Source organism: Homo sapiens, chromosome 14 (assembly GCF_000001405.40).
Source record: "Homo sapiens chromosome 14, GRCh38.p14 Primary Assembly".
In the NCBI taxonomy this organism is placed as follows: Eukaryota; Metazoa; Chordata; class Mammalia; order Primates; family Hominidae; genus Homo; species Homo sapiens.
In genome coordinates, this window is record NC_000014.9 from 38,174,779 (window position 1) to 38,192,224 (window position 17,446).

The 17,446-nt window shown below is 39.5% G+C and overlaps 2 annotated features.

Moving 5' to 3' along the window:
• Positions 14,948-15,937: an enhancer, noted in NCBI's record as "OCT4-NANOG-H3K27ac hESC enhancer chr14:38658931-38659920 (GRCh37/hg19 assembly coordinates)". NCBI's record gives its function as "activates a minimal SCP1, AML or CMV promoter by ChIP-STARR-seq in naive and primed H9 embryonic stem cells {active_cell/tissue: H9 hESC(naive and primed)}" and the evidence as "EXISTENCE:reporter gene assay evidence [ECO:0000049][PMID:30033119]".
• Positions 15,938-16,927: an enhancer, noted in NCBI's record as "OCT4-NANOG-H3K27ac-H3K4me1 hESC enhancer chr14:38659921-38660910 (GRCh37/hg19 assembly coordinates)". NCBI's record gives its function as "activates a minimal SCP1, AML or CMV promoter by ChIP-STARR-seq in naive and primed H9 embryonic stem cells {active_cell/tissue: H9 hESC(naive and primed)}" and the evidence as "EXISTENCE:reporter gene assay evidence [ECO:0000049][PMID:30033119]".

Here is a 17,446-nt window from a genome sequence, read left to right on the forward strand (position 1 = left end):
GCCAAAAATGTAGACAAGCCTCTAAACTTACTAGAAACTACAGTCCCTTGATTCTCCTACCTGCTCACTCTCCTTCACCCTCTTCATGGCCTTTGTCCCTCCTTTCCCCGATTCCATGGTCAATCATTAAAATCGCATTCTTTCAAACCTCCTGAATTCCATTGCCTCCTCTTTGTTTTACTTGCTTGACTAAACCACAAGTCTGGTTAAATTCATCTCCCTGCCCACTCCATGTCTCTGCCTATACCATTAAATATAATTGGAGTAAAACACAGAATTACAAAAATTAATTTATTTTAAAATTCCTAGTTGTTCATTTAATGGGGTCATTCACAGTCCCAGGCATCCATATTCTACTTGCCCATGGCATTCACTTTCACCACTCTCCTTTTCTTCTTTCCTCTAAAACTTCAAACAACTCCCCCCAGTCCTTGCTCACAACTGAAGGCTATATTATCAACTCCCTGAAAGAAACTAAAGCATTCAAGAAAGAACTTTCACAAACTCCTACACATTTATCCTCATTCACCATCTGTGACCATTTACTCTTCCTCCTTTTACAATGGATAAACTATTAATTCCCCTTGCTAAAACCCAGATTTTGCTCATTCCTTTATCACTTATTCAAAAATTTTCTGTATCCTTTATTCTCTCATTTCCTTCTTAAAGATCATTCACATCAGCATGCAAATAAGCTGTTATTTTTCTCATTTAAAAAACAACCCTCTTGATTCTACTTCCTCCAGCTATTCCCCATTTCTCTGCTCTATTTTACAAAGAAAACGTCTAGAAATATTAGTGTAAACTTGATGCCTCCAATTTAACTCTTTTCCTAGTCTCCTCAACCACACCAATCAGGTTTTTGCCTTTAACACTCCACTGCAAATAATCTTGTCAATGTCCTAGCTGACCTCCATGATATGGGTGAATTCTTAGTTTCTGTTTTTATTTGATTAATTAGCAGCATTAGACTTGAAACACATTTTTCACTTGGCTTCCAAGAACCCACACTTTCTTGGTTTTCTTCCTATGACACTAGCTACTCCTTTTGTCTCACCTTTTCTGGTTCTGCCTCATTTCTGACTCTTAACATTACTCAGTACCTTGGTGATCTTATCCAGTCTCATGGCTTTAAATATGCTGCTGACACCCAAATTCGTATCTCCAGCTCCTGCCTCTCTCCTCTGAACACCAAATGCCTATACCGATGCTCTTCAATTTATGATAGGGTTATGTCCCAATAAGCCCATCATAATTTAAAATATTCTAAGTGGAAAAAGCATTGAAACTATCTTAAGTTGTTACATCTAGCCCATGGAACATCATAGCTTAGCCTAGCCTACCTTAAACATGCTCAGAACACTTACATTTGCCCACAGTTGGGAAAAAAAAATCTACTGAATTCAGTGTCTATCTTATAATAAAGCACTGAATATCTCAAATAATTTCTTGAGTACTGTACTGAAAGCGAAAAACAAAATGATTATATGAGTACTTGAAGTATGGTCCCTACTGAATGTGTAGCACTTTCACACTGTTGTTGAGTTGAAAAATTCTAAGTTGAACCATAAGTAAGTCAGGGACCATCTGTGTACAATTCCTACTGACATCTAAATTTGTCTAATAAACATCACAAAACAACCTGTCCAACATAATTTATGATTCTCCCTCTAACCAAAACTACACAACCTGCAGCCTTTTCCATGTCATGCAACAGAGACCGTTTTTTCCAATTTCTCTGGCACAAGATGTTGAAATAATTCCAACTCTTCTCTTTTTGTCATATTGTGTTTCCAATTTGTCAGCAAATTCTGTCAACTATGCCTTCAAAACATATCCAGAAAATGACCACTTTTTGCTATCTCCCCTCCTACCACTGTGGTCCAAAGAGCCATAATGATGGATTGCTTGGATTATGGAAATAGCCTCCTAACTATTCTTTCTGCTGCCATTCATTCTCTTCTTCAGAAAATTTTCAGCACAGCAGCCAAAATGATTCTTTAAAATGTTGTGGCTTCCGATGTCCCGGAATGAACGCCACAGCTGTTATAATGGCCTACAGGGCTCTATACCATCTACTCCATTTCTTACCCCTAATAGACCTCATATGCTACCTTCTTTCATGTTCACATCACTCCAGCCACAGTAACCTCCGTGCTCTTCCTAGGACACAACAGACTTTTCTGTCTCAGGACCTACACTCGTGGAGTTCCTACTTCTAAGAATTTTCTTCTCCATGTAGCTCTGCACAGCTTAGTCTTTCATTCCTTTCAGGTCTTCTTCTCATTGAGATCTTACCTGGCTTCCTTAGATGAATTGCAATCTCCATTCTCTCTACTCCTCTTCCCTGTATATTATTTATCACCATCTAGTAAATATTTCACATAATTTTCTTATTCATTTTGTTTTTGTCTCTTCTATCCTAAAATATAAGCTTCATGAGGGCAAGAGATTGTGTGTCTTTAACAGTGACAGGCTTCTAGTAGGTGATTAGCAGATATCTGTTGCAAAAAAATGAAAAAGATGGCAAGCAACAGCAATGACAGAGAAAAACTGACTGATTTTCTAAATACTGAAAAATATAATAACAGGGTGAAAAGGAAAAAAAACTTGCAGATAATTAATTTTAACCAGCAGGAAGTTCATTCTGGTTGGAGAAGTAAAAAGCACGCAGTGTATAATTTTGCCCCTTAGAGGAAAAGTTTCAGTAAATGTCGTTAATATAAGAGAACCTAGAACTGTCCCCATAGGGCAGATCCTCATCTCTTTTACCAGTCTTTATAACTGACTTAAAGAAAGCAAAGTGACCCATATCTAGCTCATTTAGTAGATCCTCAATAGATGTTCACAGACTGAGCAAAAAGTAATGACTTATCAGTGAAAGAGTTTATTTGATATTACTTCCTGGATTCAGGGAGAAATACAGTGAGTAACTAAGATACATGTTTTACACACTGGCAAACTTCATTTTGTTTGTTTGTTTGTTTGTTTGTTTTTGAGACAGAGTCTTGCTCTGTTGCCCAGGCTGGAGGACAGTGGCGTGATCTGAGCTCACTCCAGCCTCTGCCTCCGGGGTTCAGGCAATTCTCCTGTCTCAGCCTCCCGAGTAGCTGGGATTGTAGGCATGTGCCACCACACCTGGCTAATTTTTGTATTTTTAGTAGAGATGGGATTTCACCACATTCGTCAGGCTGGTCTCGAACTCCTGACCTCATCTGCCTTGGCCTCCCAAAGTGCTGGGATTACAGGCATGAGACATTGCACCCAGCCTACACTGGCAAACTTCTAAGCACAACTCTACATTCTTTGATTTTTAGATTTCCTTTTAAAAACAATAAAAACACAATCACAAATGGCAGATTTTAGGGGTGTCCTCTTCTCTCCCATAGTCCTACCCTCAGACTTCATAAGAGAAATCTTTCTTTTATTCGTATTTCAACTCTCAGCCTGGAACAAAGCTATGACAAAAACAAAAACGTATTCTGAAAGCATCCATTATAAGGTTTATAAAAGTAAAATTTCAACAAAACTCAAATATTCACTGTAATGTTTCACACTAGATCAATGGACATGTTATCAAGGCCTCAATATCCTCTGATTACATAAAAGCAGAATGACTTCACAACTCATCTCAGTTCAACAACTAATATGTATGTATTAGTGAAAGATTTTCCCCTGGGTCTCCTCCTTTATGAACAAAACTTTCCCTTTAAGCATGATCTATTCATCGAAGTATTCTAGCTTTAGCAATTTTCATGAGGCCTGTGTAAAATTGTTGCTATATATGAATAAAAGGTGATATATTAGATATTGGGTATTTGGGGCATTGGGCAGACTTTTATTTAAACAATTAAATTTTTATGTTTTATCCATAAATGGTGATAATATAAAAACTTAGCCTAAGAACTCTTGAAATGGTGGTGAGGTTTCACTTTTAATTGAATCCTATATGATATTTATTCTCTTGAGATCAATGCATGTTAACCCCGATATCATACTCTATATCTAGCAAGGGAGAATAGAGGTTTTTAGAGAGCTTAGCAATAGAAAATTCAGTCCTATCAAAGAACTTCAGTTCAATTTAATATAATATATTCTATTTATATTCACTGAGCAATGATCATATGTTGAATATGTTACCAACACTCTATGGCATGGTCTCCAATGTTTTGGAACTTACAGTCTTTCTTGACCTATGTCTGCATGCATAAAAGAAAATCAGAATTCTGCCTCAGATCATGATAAGTGAATGGTACCAAATTTGCCTCCTGCCGAAAGAAACTGTAAAACTGGACATAAATATATGAGACAACTGTTTTCTGGTATTAGGCACAGACAGCTCAGAACCGCAATCATTGAGGGGAAAAAAAAAGCACAAGGTGGTCACCATTTTTGACTAGCTTCCTGTTTGGGGGCATTTTTCAGACTACTTCTAAGGGAAGTGAAGCCCAAGGAGAGGCCAGTGGTATCACTAAGCAAAGGAGAGAAATACAAGAGTTTGGAACTACAAAAGCAGCAAGAAATTCTGGGATAGAGAACTGGAGATGAGGAAGATGTGCAGAAATGGAGCCCAAAAACTCTACCCAGGAGGTTCTTGGCTGAAAGATTGGCAGCAGATATGTAGAAAGAGATACCACAAGGCCTAACAGAGGGTGGAGTTTGCGGGGCTCAGAGCTGTCCCACAAGAGAGACGCAATGGGTCTTCCAATGCTGAGAGATGTTTGGCCACTCTTCCACCCTCACTGTGTACTTCAGTCATTTAGTTTGGACTCCAGAAAGGACATGTCTAAGGAATAAGAACCACTTTAAAGTAGGAATATGCCGTAAGACTAAGGAAAAAATAGAGCAGCTCTAAAATAACAACAACAACAACAACAAAACCAAGCGTGAAATAAAAGGATTTACTACTAACAACCTAACAAAACAAAATTAAATATCTTTTTTAGTAAAAAATAGACAACATAATGAAGACAAAATAATTACCACAATGTCCAGCATAAGATTTGAAAAAATACTAAATTTGCGAGCCGCAGGAAAATGTGTACTAAAATTGAGAAAAATGCTGCCAATAGAAACAGAATTCCAAATGATTTGCAGTTTGGAATTAGCAGACAAGAACTTTGAAGGGCTATAAAAATGTACAAAGACACATAAAAAAATGTGGGCCTCAAGAACAAACAGATAAGAAATGTCTCCAGAGAAATGGAAACTCTAAAGTATTCAATTTCTAGAACGTGTTAAGCATATATCTCTGATATGGTTTGCCTGTGTCCCCACCCAAATCTCAACTTCAATTATATCTCCCAGAATTCCCATGTGTTGTGGGAGGGACCCAGGGGGAGGTAATTGAATCATAGAGGCTGGTCTTTCCCGTGCTATTCTCATGATAGTGAATAAGTCTCATGAGATTTGATGGGTTTATCAGGGGTTTCCGCTTTTGTTTCTTCCCCATTTTTCTCTTGCCACCACCATGTAAGAAGTGCCTTTTGCCTCTCGCCATGATTCTGAGGCCTCCCCAGCCATGTGGAACTATAAGTCCAATTAAACCTCTTTTATTCCCAGTTTCAGGTATGTCTTTATCAACAGCAAGAAAATGAACTAATACAATCTCAAATAAAAAATGTATTGATTGGCTTAATAGCAGATTGGAGACTGTAACAAATAGGCCAATGAACTTGATGACAGATCAATAAAAAATTATCCAGTCTGAAAAACAGCAAAAGATAATAATAATAAATAAAATAAAAATCTTACTAGAGTCTTAGGGACTTGTAGGAGCAATAGCAAGCTATCTGACCAATTTGCAACAGGAGGTCCATAAGAAAAGGATAAAGTTAATGAAGCAGAAAAAAAAAAAGAACAACAACCATCTGTTTCTAAAATCTAGTGAAAACATTAAGCTATAGATCCAAAAAATACAGGAAACTTCAAGCAGGATAAACACAAGGCTAACTACACCTAGGAACAACATAATCAAATTGCAGATAACCAAAGATAAAGAGAAAACATACATAAGTAGTCATTAAAAATACACATTATACACAAAGATACAAGTAACGGCTGAATTCTCATCAGAAAAATGCAGGCCAATATAGTTAGATAGAAAGCATAAGTTCTAGTGTTTGGCAGTATAGTAGAGAAATTATAGTTAACAATGATTTATTGTATATTTCAAAATAACTAGAAGAGAAAAATTATAATGTTCCCAACAAAAAGAAAAGATAAATGTTTGAGGTGATGGATATCCCAATTACCCTGATTTAATCATTGCACAATGTATACAGGTATTGGAATATCACGTGTACCCCAAAATATGTATAGCATATATACCAATTAAAAAATCTAAAAAATAAATTCAGAATCTAATTCAAAAATAGAAGAAAAATGCAGGCCCGAAGAATATGAAATGATGTCTTCAAAGAGCTAAAAGGAAAGAGAAAGCATTTTCCAAAATTTTATACACAGTGAAAAATATCCTCCACAATGAAGGTAAATTAAAGACATCTGCAGATTAGAGAAAACAGAAAATCCATCTCCAGCACACCTGCACAACAAGAAATACTAAGGCTAATGGAAATGATTCCATGTGGAACCATGAATCAACAAGAAGAAATGAAAAGCACCAAAAATGGTAAATATGTGGATGAATATAAATGATTATCTCTTTCCTCTTAATTTAAAAGATTACTAACTGCTTAAACTAAAAATGAAATCTTTTATTTGGTCAGATTTATAATGTATGAAGTAGCAAAACCAATGGTAACAACTGCATTAGGAATCGTGGAGTAAATAGAATTGCACCCTTGTAAGAGTCTCACATATTACACCAGGTGGGACAATAGTAGTTCTAGGAACACAATAATGAATTAAGAATGCATAGCTCCTAGAGAAATGACTAAAAGTCAATAATACTAGTGCTTCAGTAAGGATCACATCTCAGACCTAACAAAACCACCTCAAGATTGTCTTGAAGACACACTCTGGCAGGTTAAGTGAGATGGCTTCACTGAATGATCAAGTTGAAACAAGTGCCATCATTGTAGTACTTTTTCAAGAAATAGTTGATGTGGGTTTCTGGCCACAAATTGTGTGGCCTACTCCCATTAAAAAAAAAGAATGTTGCAGTATTCTTAATTATCTCCACTAATTGCCCTTCTATTTGCTTCCTGAGAGTTAAAACCATGTCCAAAACAAGTTAGAATGAGAGCCAAATGAGCCTTTTCTTTGGAGAAAAAAAAAAACATTGACAAACTATTTGTTTAATCTTTATACCAAGGTCTCAGGGACGAAGACTAAAACAATGACTTTATATAGACTGAGTAATAGACTGAATAGTATGTTGTAGGTGGCCATATAGATTTAACACTATTTTTAGAGGAATTAGGGTAATGGTGAGCATTTCTCCTTCAATAATGTTTTTTTCTAAAAGCTTGAAATATTGCATACTTTGATTGCATAATGGTTATATTCTTTAGTTATTTTTTTTCTTTTTTTTTTTGAGTCAGAGTCTTGCTCTGTTGCTCAGGCTGGAGTGCAGTGGCACAATCTCAGCTCACTGCAACCTCCGCCTCCTGGGTTCAAGCAATTCTCCTGCCTCAGCCTCCTGAGTAGCTGGGATTACAGGCACATGCCACTATGCCTGGATAATTTTTTGTATTTTTAGTAAAGACGAGGATTCACCATGCTAGCCAGGATGGTCTCGATCTCCTGACCTCGTGATCTGCTTGCCTCAGCCTCCCGAAGTGCTGTGATTACAGACGTGAGCCACCACGCCTGGCCCTATTCTTTAGCTATTTTTAATAACAGCAAGATTCACCTTCTGAAGTGCTGTGCTTATTGACATAATTCAAGCCTGGGGACTTGTAACATCAAAAGAAGTTCTGATATTTCTATTTAATTCTGGCCTTTTATTCACATTCTTTCATTTTTCCATTTTCAGCTAGTCTCTCATTTTTGCAGTGGTAATGAGAGAGATGAGTAGTTAGAATAAGTCTGTTCGTCAGACAAATAAGATGGCATTTGTCTTTGAGAGCACTTTTAATTTTCCTTTGTGCTGAGGTAAATCAGAAGCCTGTTAAGCCATGAAATGTTTTACAGTTCAATATATATAACAATATACATTGTTTTAGGCAAGAAGCCCTAGCTTTAGAGACCTGTGTCTTTCTGCAGTCTAATAAACCCTCAAATGCATTTGTCACCTGTGTGAGTCCATTTTGCATTGCTATAAAGGAATGCCCGAGACTGGGTAATTTATAAAGAAATGAAGTTTATTTGGCTTGCAGTTCTGCAGGCTGTACAAGCACAGCAGCAACATCTGCTCAGCTTTTGGAGATGCCTCAGGAAGCTTACAGTCGTTGTAGAAGGTGATGGCAGAGCAGGCATGTCACATGTTGAGAAAGGAAGCAAGAGAGAGAGGAGGAGGTGCCAGGCTGCTCTAAACAACCAGCTCTTTCATAAATTAACAGAGCAAGAGCTCACTCATTACCATTGGGAAGACATCAAGCCATTCTTGAGGGATCTGCCCCCATGACCCAAACACATCCCACCAACCTGCACCTCCAACACTGAGCATCACATTTCAACATGAGATTTGGAGGGGACAAAACATCCAAACTATATCATTACAGAAGGCATCGAAGAGGAATTCTTCAGAGCAATATTTTTCTAGTAACTTTCCCACTGATAAAATAAAAACCTTTGCTTATTGTAGAAACAATAGAAGTTGAGAGACTCGTTTATGTTCCTCAAGAAAGAACAAGTAAAACCCCATTTCCCAGACCAAGGCTTTTGAAGCTACTATATTGTGCAAAACCACACCAAGCAGATTCATTTACCATTTTGCCCATCCAGTATGCAGACATTGCATGTTGCATGGACTCTGACCTCAAGGATCTCACCATCACTGTAGGAGATGCACACATGAACAGATACTTACAATGCAATGTGAAAAGTCAATCATCATTACAATCCCCTATGTACTAAAAAATGTAGCCTTGCCTAAGGAAAGAGAGAGCTGGCTTCTGCCCTTGGCTTCTGGAGGCAGTCTGTAAACCCTTGGAATGTCATGCCTGATAGGGTTGTCTTTGTTTGCCTGCTGGCCTTGGATAAGACAGATAAATAACCATGTGATTTAGAGAGGGGGTTTTGGGTCACATAGTGTAAGCTAGATCTCTTGAGGGGCTGGAAATGGAGATCTAACATGTGGGCAATCAATTGTGCTTACGTGATGGAACTCCAACGAAAACTCTGAACACCAAGACACCTATGAGTTTCCTGGCTGGCAATACTCAGCATATCACCAGACATCAATCCTGGGAAAGTAATGCCATTCATGATTCAATAGGTGAAGGACAACTAGAAGCTCTGGGTTTGGCACTTTCCTAGACTTTGCCCTGGGTACTTCTTTTCTTGGCTAATTTTAATCTGTATTCTTTTGCTAGAATACAAACTAGAGTAACAAACAATGACTGTGATTATACAGCTTTTAGTAAGTTCTATGTACACTTCTAGTGAATTATTGAAACTGAGTGTGTTTGGGGGAACTCCCCAAACTTGCATTTGGTTTCAGAAGTGAGAATGGTCTTGTGGACTGTGCTCCCTCATACATCACATCACCTGTATCTTCAATGTCTTCTAACTATGACTTAATCCTGGCTTTTTCCTAAAAACACTTCTTCCCTGGGAGCCCTCTCAAATAGTGACTGTTTCTTTCCCACATTCCTCAGGCCTCTGGATGCAGAGGTGGGTTAAGTGTTCTCCATTTTCCTCATTTCCATTCTGGACCATTCTCTTAGCTGTTTTAAGAAAATCTTCCATTTCTAATCTCATGCTATCACTTTCCACCACCCACTACCTTTCATTGTTGCAATCATCTGCGTCCCCAAGCTTTAGATCACCTTCACTCCTCAAAGTTACCACCTGGCCTGGTAACTAATTGCCTTACCTGTCTCATGGATATGTAACTTTTGTTAGAAAAGTGCCATCCTGAAGAAAAGCCCAGAACTCAATCTGTACCAATCTAGACCCCTATCCAATCCAGGATCCCTCTGTCCTGAGCTGATCCTTCTATAGCCCTAAAGCCTATTTTCTCTAATAATATTTTTATGGAATTCTTTAAGGTTACTTGACTGCATAACACACCAAAGTTTCAGTTTTATTCCCTGCATTATTTTTGGCTTCTTAATCAGTTTGTGGGATATACCAGGGTCATAGGACCTCTCCTGGGAAAACTTTTGTGATCCATTCATTTTGATGGTTATATTTTAACATAGTTTCAAATTAAACCCTGCTATGTGCACAGAGAGGTGCTTGTTGCTTGGAATTCAAAGATAGAAAGACATCATTCCTATCCTCAGTTAGATCACTGTCCAATTGGGGGGATGGAACAGAAACTTAAGTATGTGTTGGAGCACAATATGATACAAACTAGACGAAGGCTTTGAAGGCACAAAGGACGAAGTATTGATGGAACCTTTCATTGATGTCTGGCAGTGGAACAGACAAAATCCTGCAAGAAGTCACTAAGAAAAATGGAGGAAAGATAAGTGTGTGACCTTCAGCTTTAACACAATATTTAGTCCCACTAATTGGAGCACAGCCAGAGGAGAGGAACCTGAAAGTGAAGGAAATAAATGAAATCATGTTAGCCAAAGGAAATGGAGCCTTAAGTCTGAGAAGAAGAAGACATGGATGGACATGATAGCTGGATTCAAGTGTGAGAATTGGTATCATTCAAGAAGACAAATGTAGTTCTTAGTAGCCTCAGATTGCAGCATTCAGAAGTTATCAAAAGTACTGGATTCAAGTCAGCTGTAGAATTTTCCTCTCAAGTAGAGTACCTAAAATGCAATGTCTGCTTCAGGAGGTAATGAGTCCTTTGTCACTAGAGAGGCTCAGGGAGAGTTTGGACACATATTTCCAGGGATGTTGTAGAGAAGATAAAATAATCATTTGGTGACAGGACTAAATGGTTTAAAACAGCTCTCTTTCTAAGGTTCTATACTTCTGTGCCTCTCCTGGTTCCCTGTCATCTGGCAAAGCCTAGAAAATAAATGAGCGTGAGAAATACTGCCTTTCCAGAGGTGACACACTTGGTTTGTTTGGCCTTTCCTGTTTATCTTTCCTCTGTGACATTTCTTCTCTAATCTACACAGAGCATATGCAATCAGTGAATTTAAGATGTAGAGTTATTTTAGTACAGTGGAAGAAAATGTCAGCATAAGTAAGATAGAGTAGGTAGATTTTAAGCTCATAGTCTAACATTATTTAATTAGCATGGCAAGAATTTAAAGAATTAAACAGCCTCTTGCAGACTCTCCCTTCTCACCCTCCCCTATTCACTTGGTACATTTTCTGTATTGCCAGTTCTGAGTGTGGACAACAGAATACACTCTGGCTAGTCTAAGGAGAAAGTGGATTTTTAAAAAATGGCATAAGCAGGTATTTTATATAAAATAGAGAAAAATGCAATTTTTTTAAAAAACAAACAAAACAAAAAACCTCACCCTCATCACAAGGATGCAATATGTTTCCATAATGTTCTTACTTGTATTAGTTTTCTATGACTGCTATAAAAAAAAAAATACCACAAGCAACATGGTTAAAAACCACAGAAATTTCTTCGTTCACAGTCTGGAAGCCAGAAGTCTGAGCTCAAGGTGTTTCAGGGCCATTCTCTTTCTGAAGGCTTCTTTGCCTCTTCCAGCCTCTGCTGGGTGGCTCCTGGTAGCCCTTGATTTGTGACAGTGTAATTCCAATCTCTGCCCCTATCTTCACATGGTCTTCTGGGCTGCATGTCTCCCTGTGTCCTCTCCTTTTCCTCTGAGTATACTAGTCATTGGACTTAGAGTCCTCCCTAAATTCTGGTGGATTTTGTCTTGAGATCCTTAGCTAATTAAATCTCCAACGACCATATTTTCAAATAAGGTCACATTCTGAGGTTCTGGATATACATGAATTTCTGGGGGACAGTGTTCATCCCATTCCCCTTGTCATAACTGAAATGTGGCTCCATGCTGAGGACCCTGCATCTCTCTCAAGCACATCTCATTCTTTCAGGGCTCCTCCAGCTGCTACTCTTACCTCTTTATTCCTCCATCTTTATGGGAAAACACATCCTCTTTTAAGATTTTTATCCTCGATATCTCATCTTCTCCTCTTCCTCATATGATAAAAGACAAAGACTTCCAGACTAGATTTAAAATACCAATGACAAAATTCACTACATGTTATTTATGACAGGGTGGTGGTTTCATACTGTGTCAATTTAATAAGCCGGGACACTTTCTGTATGTTCTCAGGCTAAAGTGTGTGGAAGTGAAGTAGCAGCCATTATTTTCTGAAGATTCTGGAGGCTAGACACAGGGAGAAATGAGGCAAGAGCTGTCCCTACACATTTCTACCAGCTCCCCTTACATTCCCACTCTGGCAGCTGGATAGGCTATTTTAGGAGGCCTGCTTTTTAACTTTTCTCTGAACCTCCAGCTTCCTCTTTCTGACCTGGATATTCTCAGCTTCTCCCACAATTGTGTAAGGTATTATTCCTGCAATAAATTTTTTGTCCATTGTATTTATAAAGGTTCTATTTCTCTAACTAAACCCTGACTAATAGAAATAGACAACATTTCCCACTAGAATGTAAATTCCATAAGGCAGATTTTTTTTTTTGGGTCTTTTTCATTCACTGCTTTGATCCTAGAACACTGTCTGATATATACTAAATAATCAATATTAATTGAATAAATTAATAGTTAATAAGAAGCAGATTTGAGAAGAATATGGTGATGCCGTCTTCAAAATGTTGAACTGGGGTTAATTTACATCATCTAAGTGTAGGCATCCTGTATGCAGCTGGTACTCAGGAGAGGCCTGGGACAGGAACATGAGTCATCAGCCTAAAGGTAGAGCCGCACCTATGATAATGCATGAGATTTCACCTGGAGAGGGGCCAAAGTGAGGGTTGACCTCTGGGGCATTAACACTGAGGGGTAAGAGGAAAATTAGGTAAGAGAATGTCAAGGAAACAACAGTAGATAAGATCATTAAGAAGGAGAGAGAGAGTGTATCAACATTTAAAATGATAATTAAAAGTAGATAATATAAGTTCTGAAATGCTTTCACTGTATGTGGCAACAAAGGGAACAGAATGCCCTTAGCAGGAGTAGTTTTATGATTAAAAACTGAGATAGTAAGTGTTAACCGATCTTTCCAGACAATTGGCCCTGAATGGCAAGAAGGAAATATGGTGGTAAATAAAGAACACATAGGATCAATAAAGAGTTTTTTAAAAAGATGAAAAGGAAAACATTGAAAAAGTCATACACACACACACACTTGTGTGTGTTAGTATGTAATTGTACATTGCACCTAATGAAACCTAGACAAGTGAACTGAAATCTGGCATTTACTAGCTGTGAGATCTTGGTCAAGTTAACAACAACAACAACAACAATAAATCTTTCTATAATCGTTTCTTTGTCTGCCAAATGGGTATAGTAGTGGTTCTGCATCATATTCTTTTAAAAAGTAAAGAAGATGATATAAAGTTCTCACTATTGTGCCAAATAGATAAGATCAGTAACTGAAAACTCATGAGTTACTTGCTGTTGCTAAGAAGAGAGAATGAGTGGAAAGGGAAAGTCAGGCCATCGCAGCAGCTCACGCCTGTATTCCTAGCACTTTGGGAGGCTGAGGCAGGCAGATCACTAGAGGTCAGGAGTTTGACACCAGCCTGGCAAACATGGTGAAACACTGTTTCTACTAAAAATTAAAAAATTTAGCTGGGCATAGTGGCGCACACCTGTAATCCCAGCTACTTGGGAGGCTGAGGTAGGAGAATCACTTGTACCCAGGAGGCAGAGTTTGCATTGAGCCAAGATGGTGCCACTGCACTCCAGCCTGGGTGACAGAGTGAGAGTCTGTCTTAAAAAAAAAAAAAAAAAAATAGAAAATAGGAAAAAAAAAAAAAAAAAAGGAAAGGGAAAGTCAATTGCAGAGAAAGTAAAAGGAAGGGCCTTTGGGAACAAAGTCCCCTGAGAAGTTTGGAAGTTAACAGATTCAAGGCAAAGTATGAGACAATTCACCTTAAAAAGGAATAGTTTTCTATAAAGATGAGAGGGAAGATGGGAAAGAGTTAGGATCCTAAAAAATTTAAGGAGTACAGGGAATCAAAATGAGGAAATTTCTGCTTCATCAATGAACTCTATTTTTTCTGCGAAGCAAGATCAGATGCCTGACCACTGTGAGTTAAGGAAAGAGCTGGAATGAAGTAGGGTACTTGAAAAGAGTAGCACTCATTTGAAGGAGCAGTTGTGGGGAATAAAGATAACTGTGTAGGGACAGATCAAAGGCTGGTCAGACAAGGTCGTGGACCCAATTTAAGATGAGGAACAATGACTTGCAGGAGCAGCAATCCCATGCAGTTGTGGACTTTCTCTAGCTGCCATTCAGCAGCTTGGGTTTACAAATGGAGAATGTGGTGGTGGATTGGTTTGTTATGGGGATTTTGCTGCACAAGGAAGTGAGGAAGCTGAGGGCACTAGCAAGAAAGTATCCGAAGCCATGAATCCTAGGCATAGTCAGCAGAGGGAATGCTGAAGTCATGAAGGGGCTGAGGTTTGAGAATCCTGGGGCCAGAAGAACAAGTGTGGTAGAATATGGAGCTATTTGGAAGAACTGATGCTTGCATTGAAGGTATGAATTTTCTGAAGTTAGGGAGAAATTCTCTCCTAGGGCTCCATTTTCTCCAGAGTTGTTTTCTCCAATCTTCAAGGGTATTTATTTCTTGCCCAGTACTAAAGTGTCTAGAGACTCTTCTGGACATTGGTTATTTGTCTGCATTTATTACAGCTGTATCATCTATATGACAGCTGTCATGGACCGCCTCTCTGCTGGTTTCCACCAAGAGACTGGGTACTCTCAGCCTAAAATCAAGGCTACCTGGCCATTAATTTCAATATTCTTCCATATTCTAAGAGTTCTGGCAGGGAAAAAATGCACAGATGCCCTCTCTCCTTGGGACCCCCAACTTCTCCCTTGCCCCAATCCCATAATATCTCCAGGGATTTCTTTTCATTCTGAGTTAAATATTTCTTTTCAAACCATACTCTCTCAGTGGGCTTAGGCTTATAACCCAAAAATAAAATTCTAAGGTCCCCCAATCATCTGAATGGACCCCTTCTCTCAGCCAAGAGCATTCCAAAGTTAACCTGAAAAACTAGTTCAGGACATAATGGGAAGTGGAGAGTTGAACATGCCTCATTATACCTTTCTCCCTTTTGGAATTCTGGAAAAACCAACCAGCATTAACATAAATACAGGCCTTAAGTCTGATAAGAAACATTTACAATCCATTCTCTTGGAAGCCTGCTACCTGGGGGTTTCATCTACATAATAAAACCATGGTATCAACAGCCCCTTTATTGTAACTCAGACATTCCTTTCTATTGATAACAACCCTTTCAACCAATTGCCAATCAGAAATTTTTTAAATCTACCTATGACCTGGGAGCCCCCTGCTTCAAATTGTCCCACTCTTCCAGATTGAACCAATGTAAATGTTACATGTATTGATTGATGTATTATGTCTTCCTAAAATGTATAAAAGAAAGCTGTACCCTGACTACAACCTTGGACATATGTTGCCAGGACCTCCTGAGGCTGTCTTGGGCAAAATAAACTTTGTAAGTTAACTGAGATCTGTCTCAGATACTTTTGGGTTCACAGCCTATACACAAAAAAAGCCAGGAAGTCAACCGCACACCTCACAGAGGCAAGGAATAATCAGTTGTCTACATGAGCAAGGGAGGAAGAAAGGGGAAAACAAAAGAAGGAAAAATTAGTTTGAATCTCAAAAAAAAACTGTCAGGCCTCTGAGCCCAAGCCAAGCCATCGCATCCCCTGTGACTTGCACGTATACGCCCAGATGGCCTGAAGTAACTGAAGAATCACAAAAGAAGTGAATATGCCCTGCCCCACCTTAACTGATGACATTCCACCACAAAAGAAGTGTAAATGGCCGGTCCTTGCCTTAACTGATGACATTACCTTGTGAAAGTCCTTTTCCTGGCCCATCCTGGCTCAAAAAGCACCCCCACTGAGCACCTTGCGACCCCCACTCCTGCCTGCCAGAGAACAAACCCCTTTGACTGTAATTTTCCTTTACCTACCCAAATCCTATAAAACGGCCCCACCCTTATCTCCCTTCACTGACACTTTTCGGACTCAGCCTGCCTGCACCCAGGTGATTAAAAGCTTTATTGCTCACACAAAGCCTGTTTGGTGGTCTCTTCACATGGATGCGCATGAAATTTGGTGCGGTGACTCGGATCGGGGGACCTCCCTTGGGAGATCAATCCCCTGTCCTCCTGTTCTTTGCTCCGTGAGAAAGAGCCACCTACGACCTCAGGTCCTCAGACCAACCAGGCCAAGAAACATCTCACCAATTTCAAATCCGGTAAGCGGCCTCTTTTTACTCTCTTCTCCAACCTCCCTCACTATCCCTCAACCTCTTTCTCCTTTCAATCTTGGCGCCACACTTCAATCTCTCCCTTCTCTTAATTTCAATTCCTTTCATCTTCTGGTAGAGACAAAGGAGACATGTTTTATCCGTGGACCCAAAACTCCCACGCCCGTCATGGACTGGGAAGGCAGCCTTCCCTTGGTGTTTAATCCTTGCAGGGATGCCTTTCTGATTATTCACCCATGTTTCAAAGGTGTCAGACCACGCAGGGACGCCTGCCTTTGTCCTTCACCCTTAGCGGCAAGTCCCACTTTTCTGGGGAAGGCGCAAGTACCCCAACCCCTTCTCTCCCTGTCTCTACCCCTTCTCTGCTTTTCTGGGGAAGGGGCAAGTACCCCTCAACCCCTTCTCTTTCACCCTGAGTGGCAAGTCCCGCTTTTCTACGGGGCAAGAACCCCCAATCCCTTATTTCCACGCCCCAACCTCTTATCTCTGTGCCCCAATCCCTTATTTCCGTGTCCCAACCTCTTATCTCTGCACCCCAATCCCTTATTTCCACGCCCCAACCTTGTATCTCTGTGCCCCAATCCCTTATTTCCACGCCCCAACCTCTTATATCTCTGCACCCCAATCCCTTATTTCCATGCCCTGACCTCTTATTTCTGCGCCCCATCCCTTATTTCTGCACCCTGACCTCTTATCTCTGCGCCCCAACCCCTTTCCCACTTTTCTGGAAGGTAAGAACCCCTGAACCCCTTCCCTCCATTTCTCTACTCTTTCTTTTCTCTAGGCTTGCTTCCTTCACTATGGGCAATCTTCCACCCTCCATTCCTCCTTCTACTCCCTTGGCCTGTGTTCTCAAAAACTTAAAACCTCTTCAATTCACACCTGACCTAAAACCTAAATGCCTTATTTTCTTCTGCAATGCCGCTTGACCCCAATACAAACTCGACAGTAGTTCCAAATAGCCAGAAAATGGCACTTTGA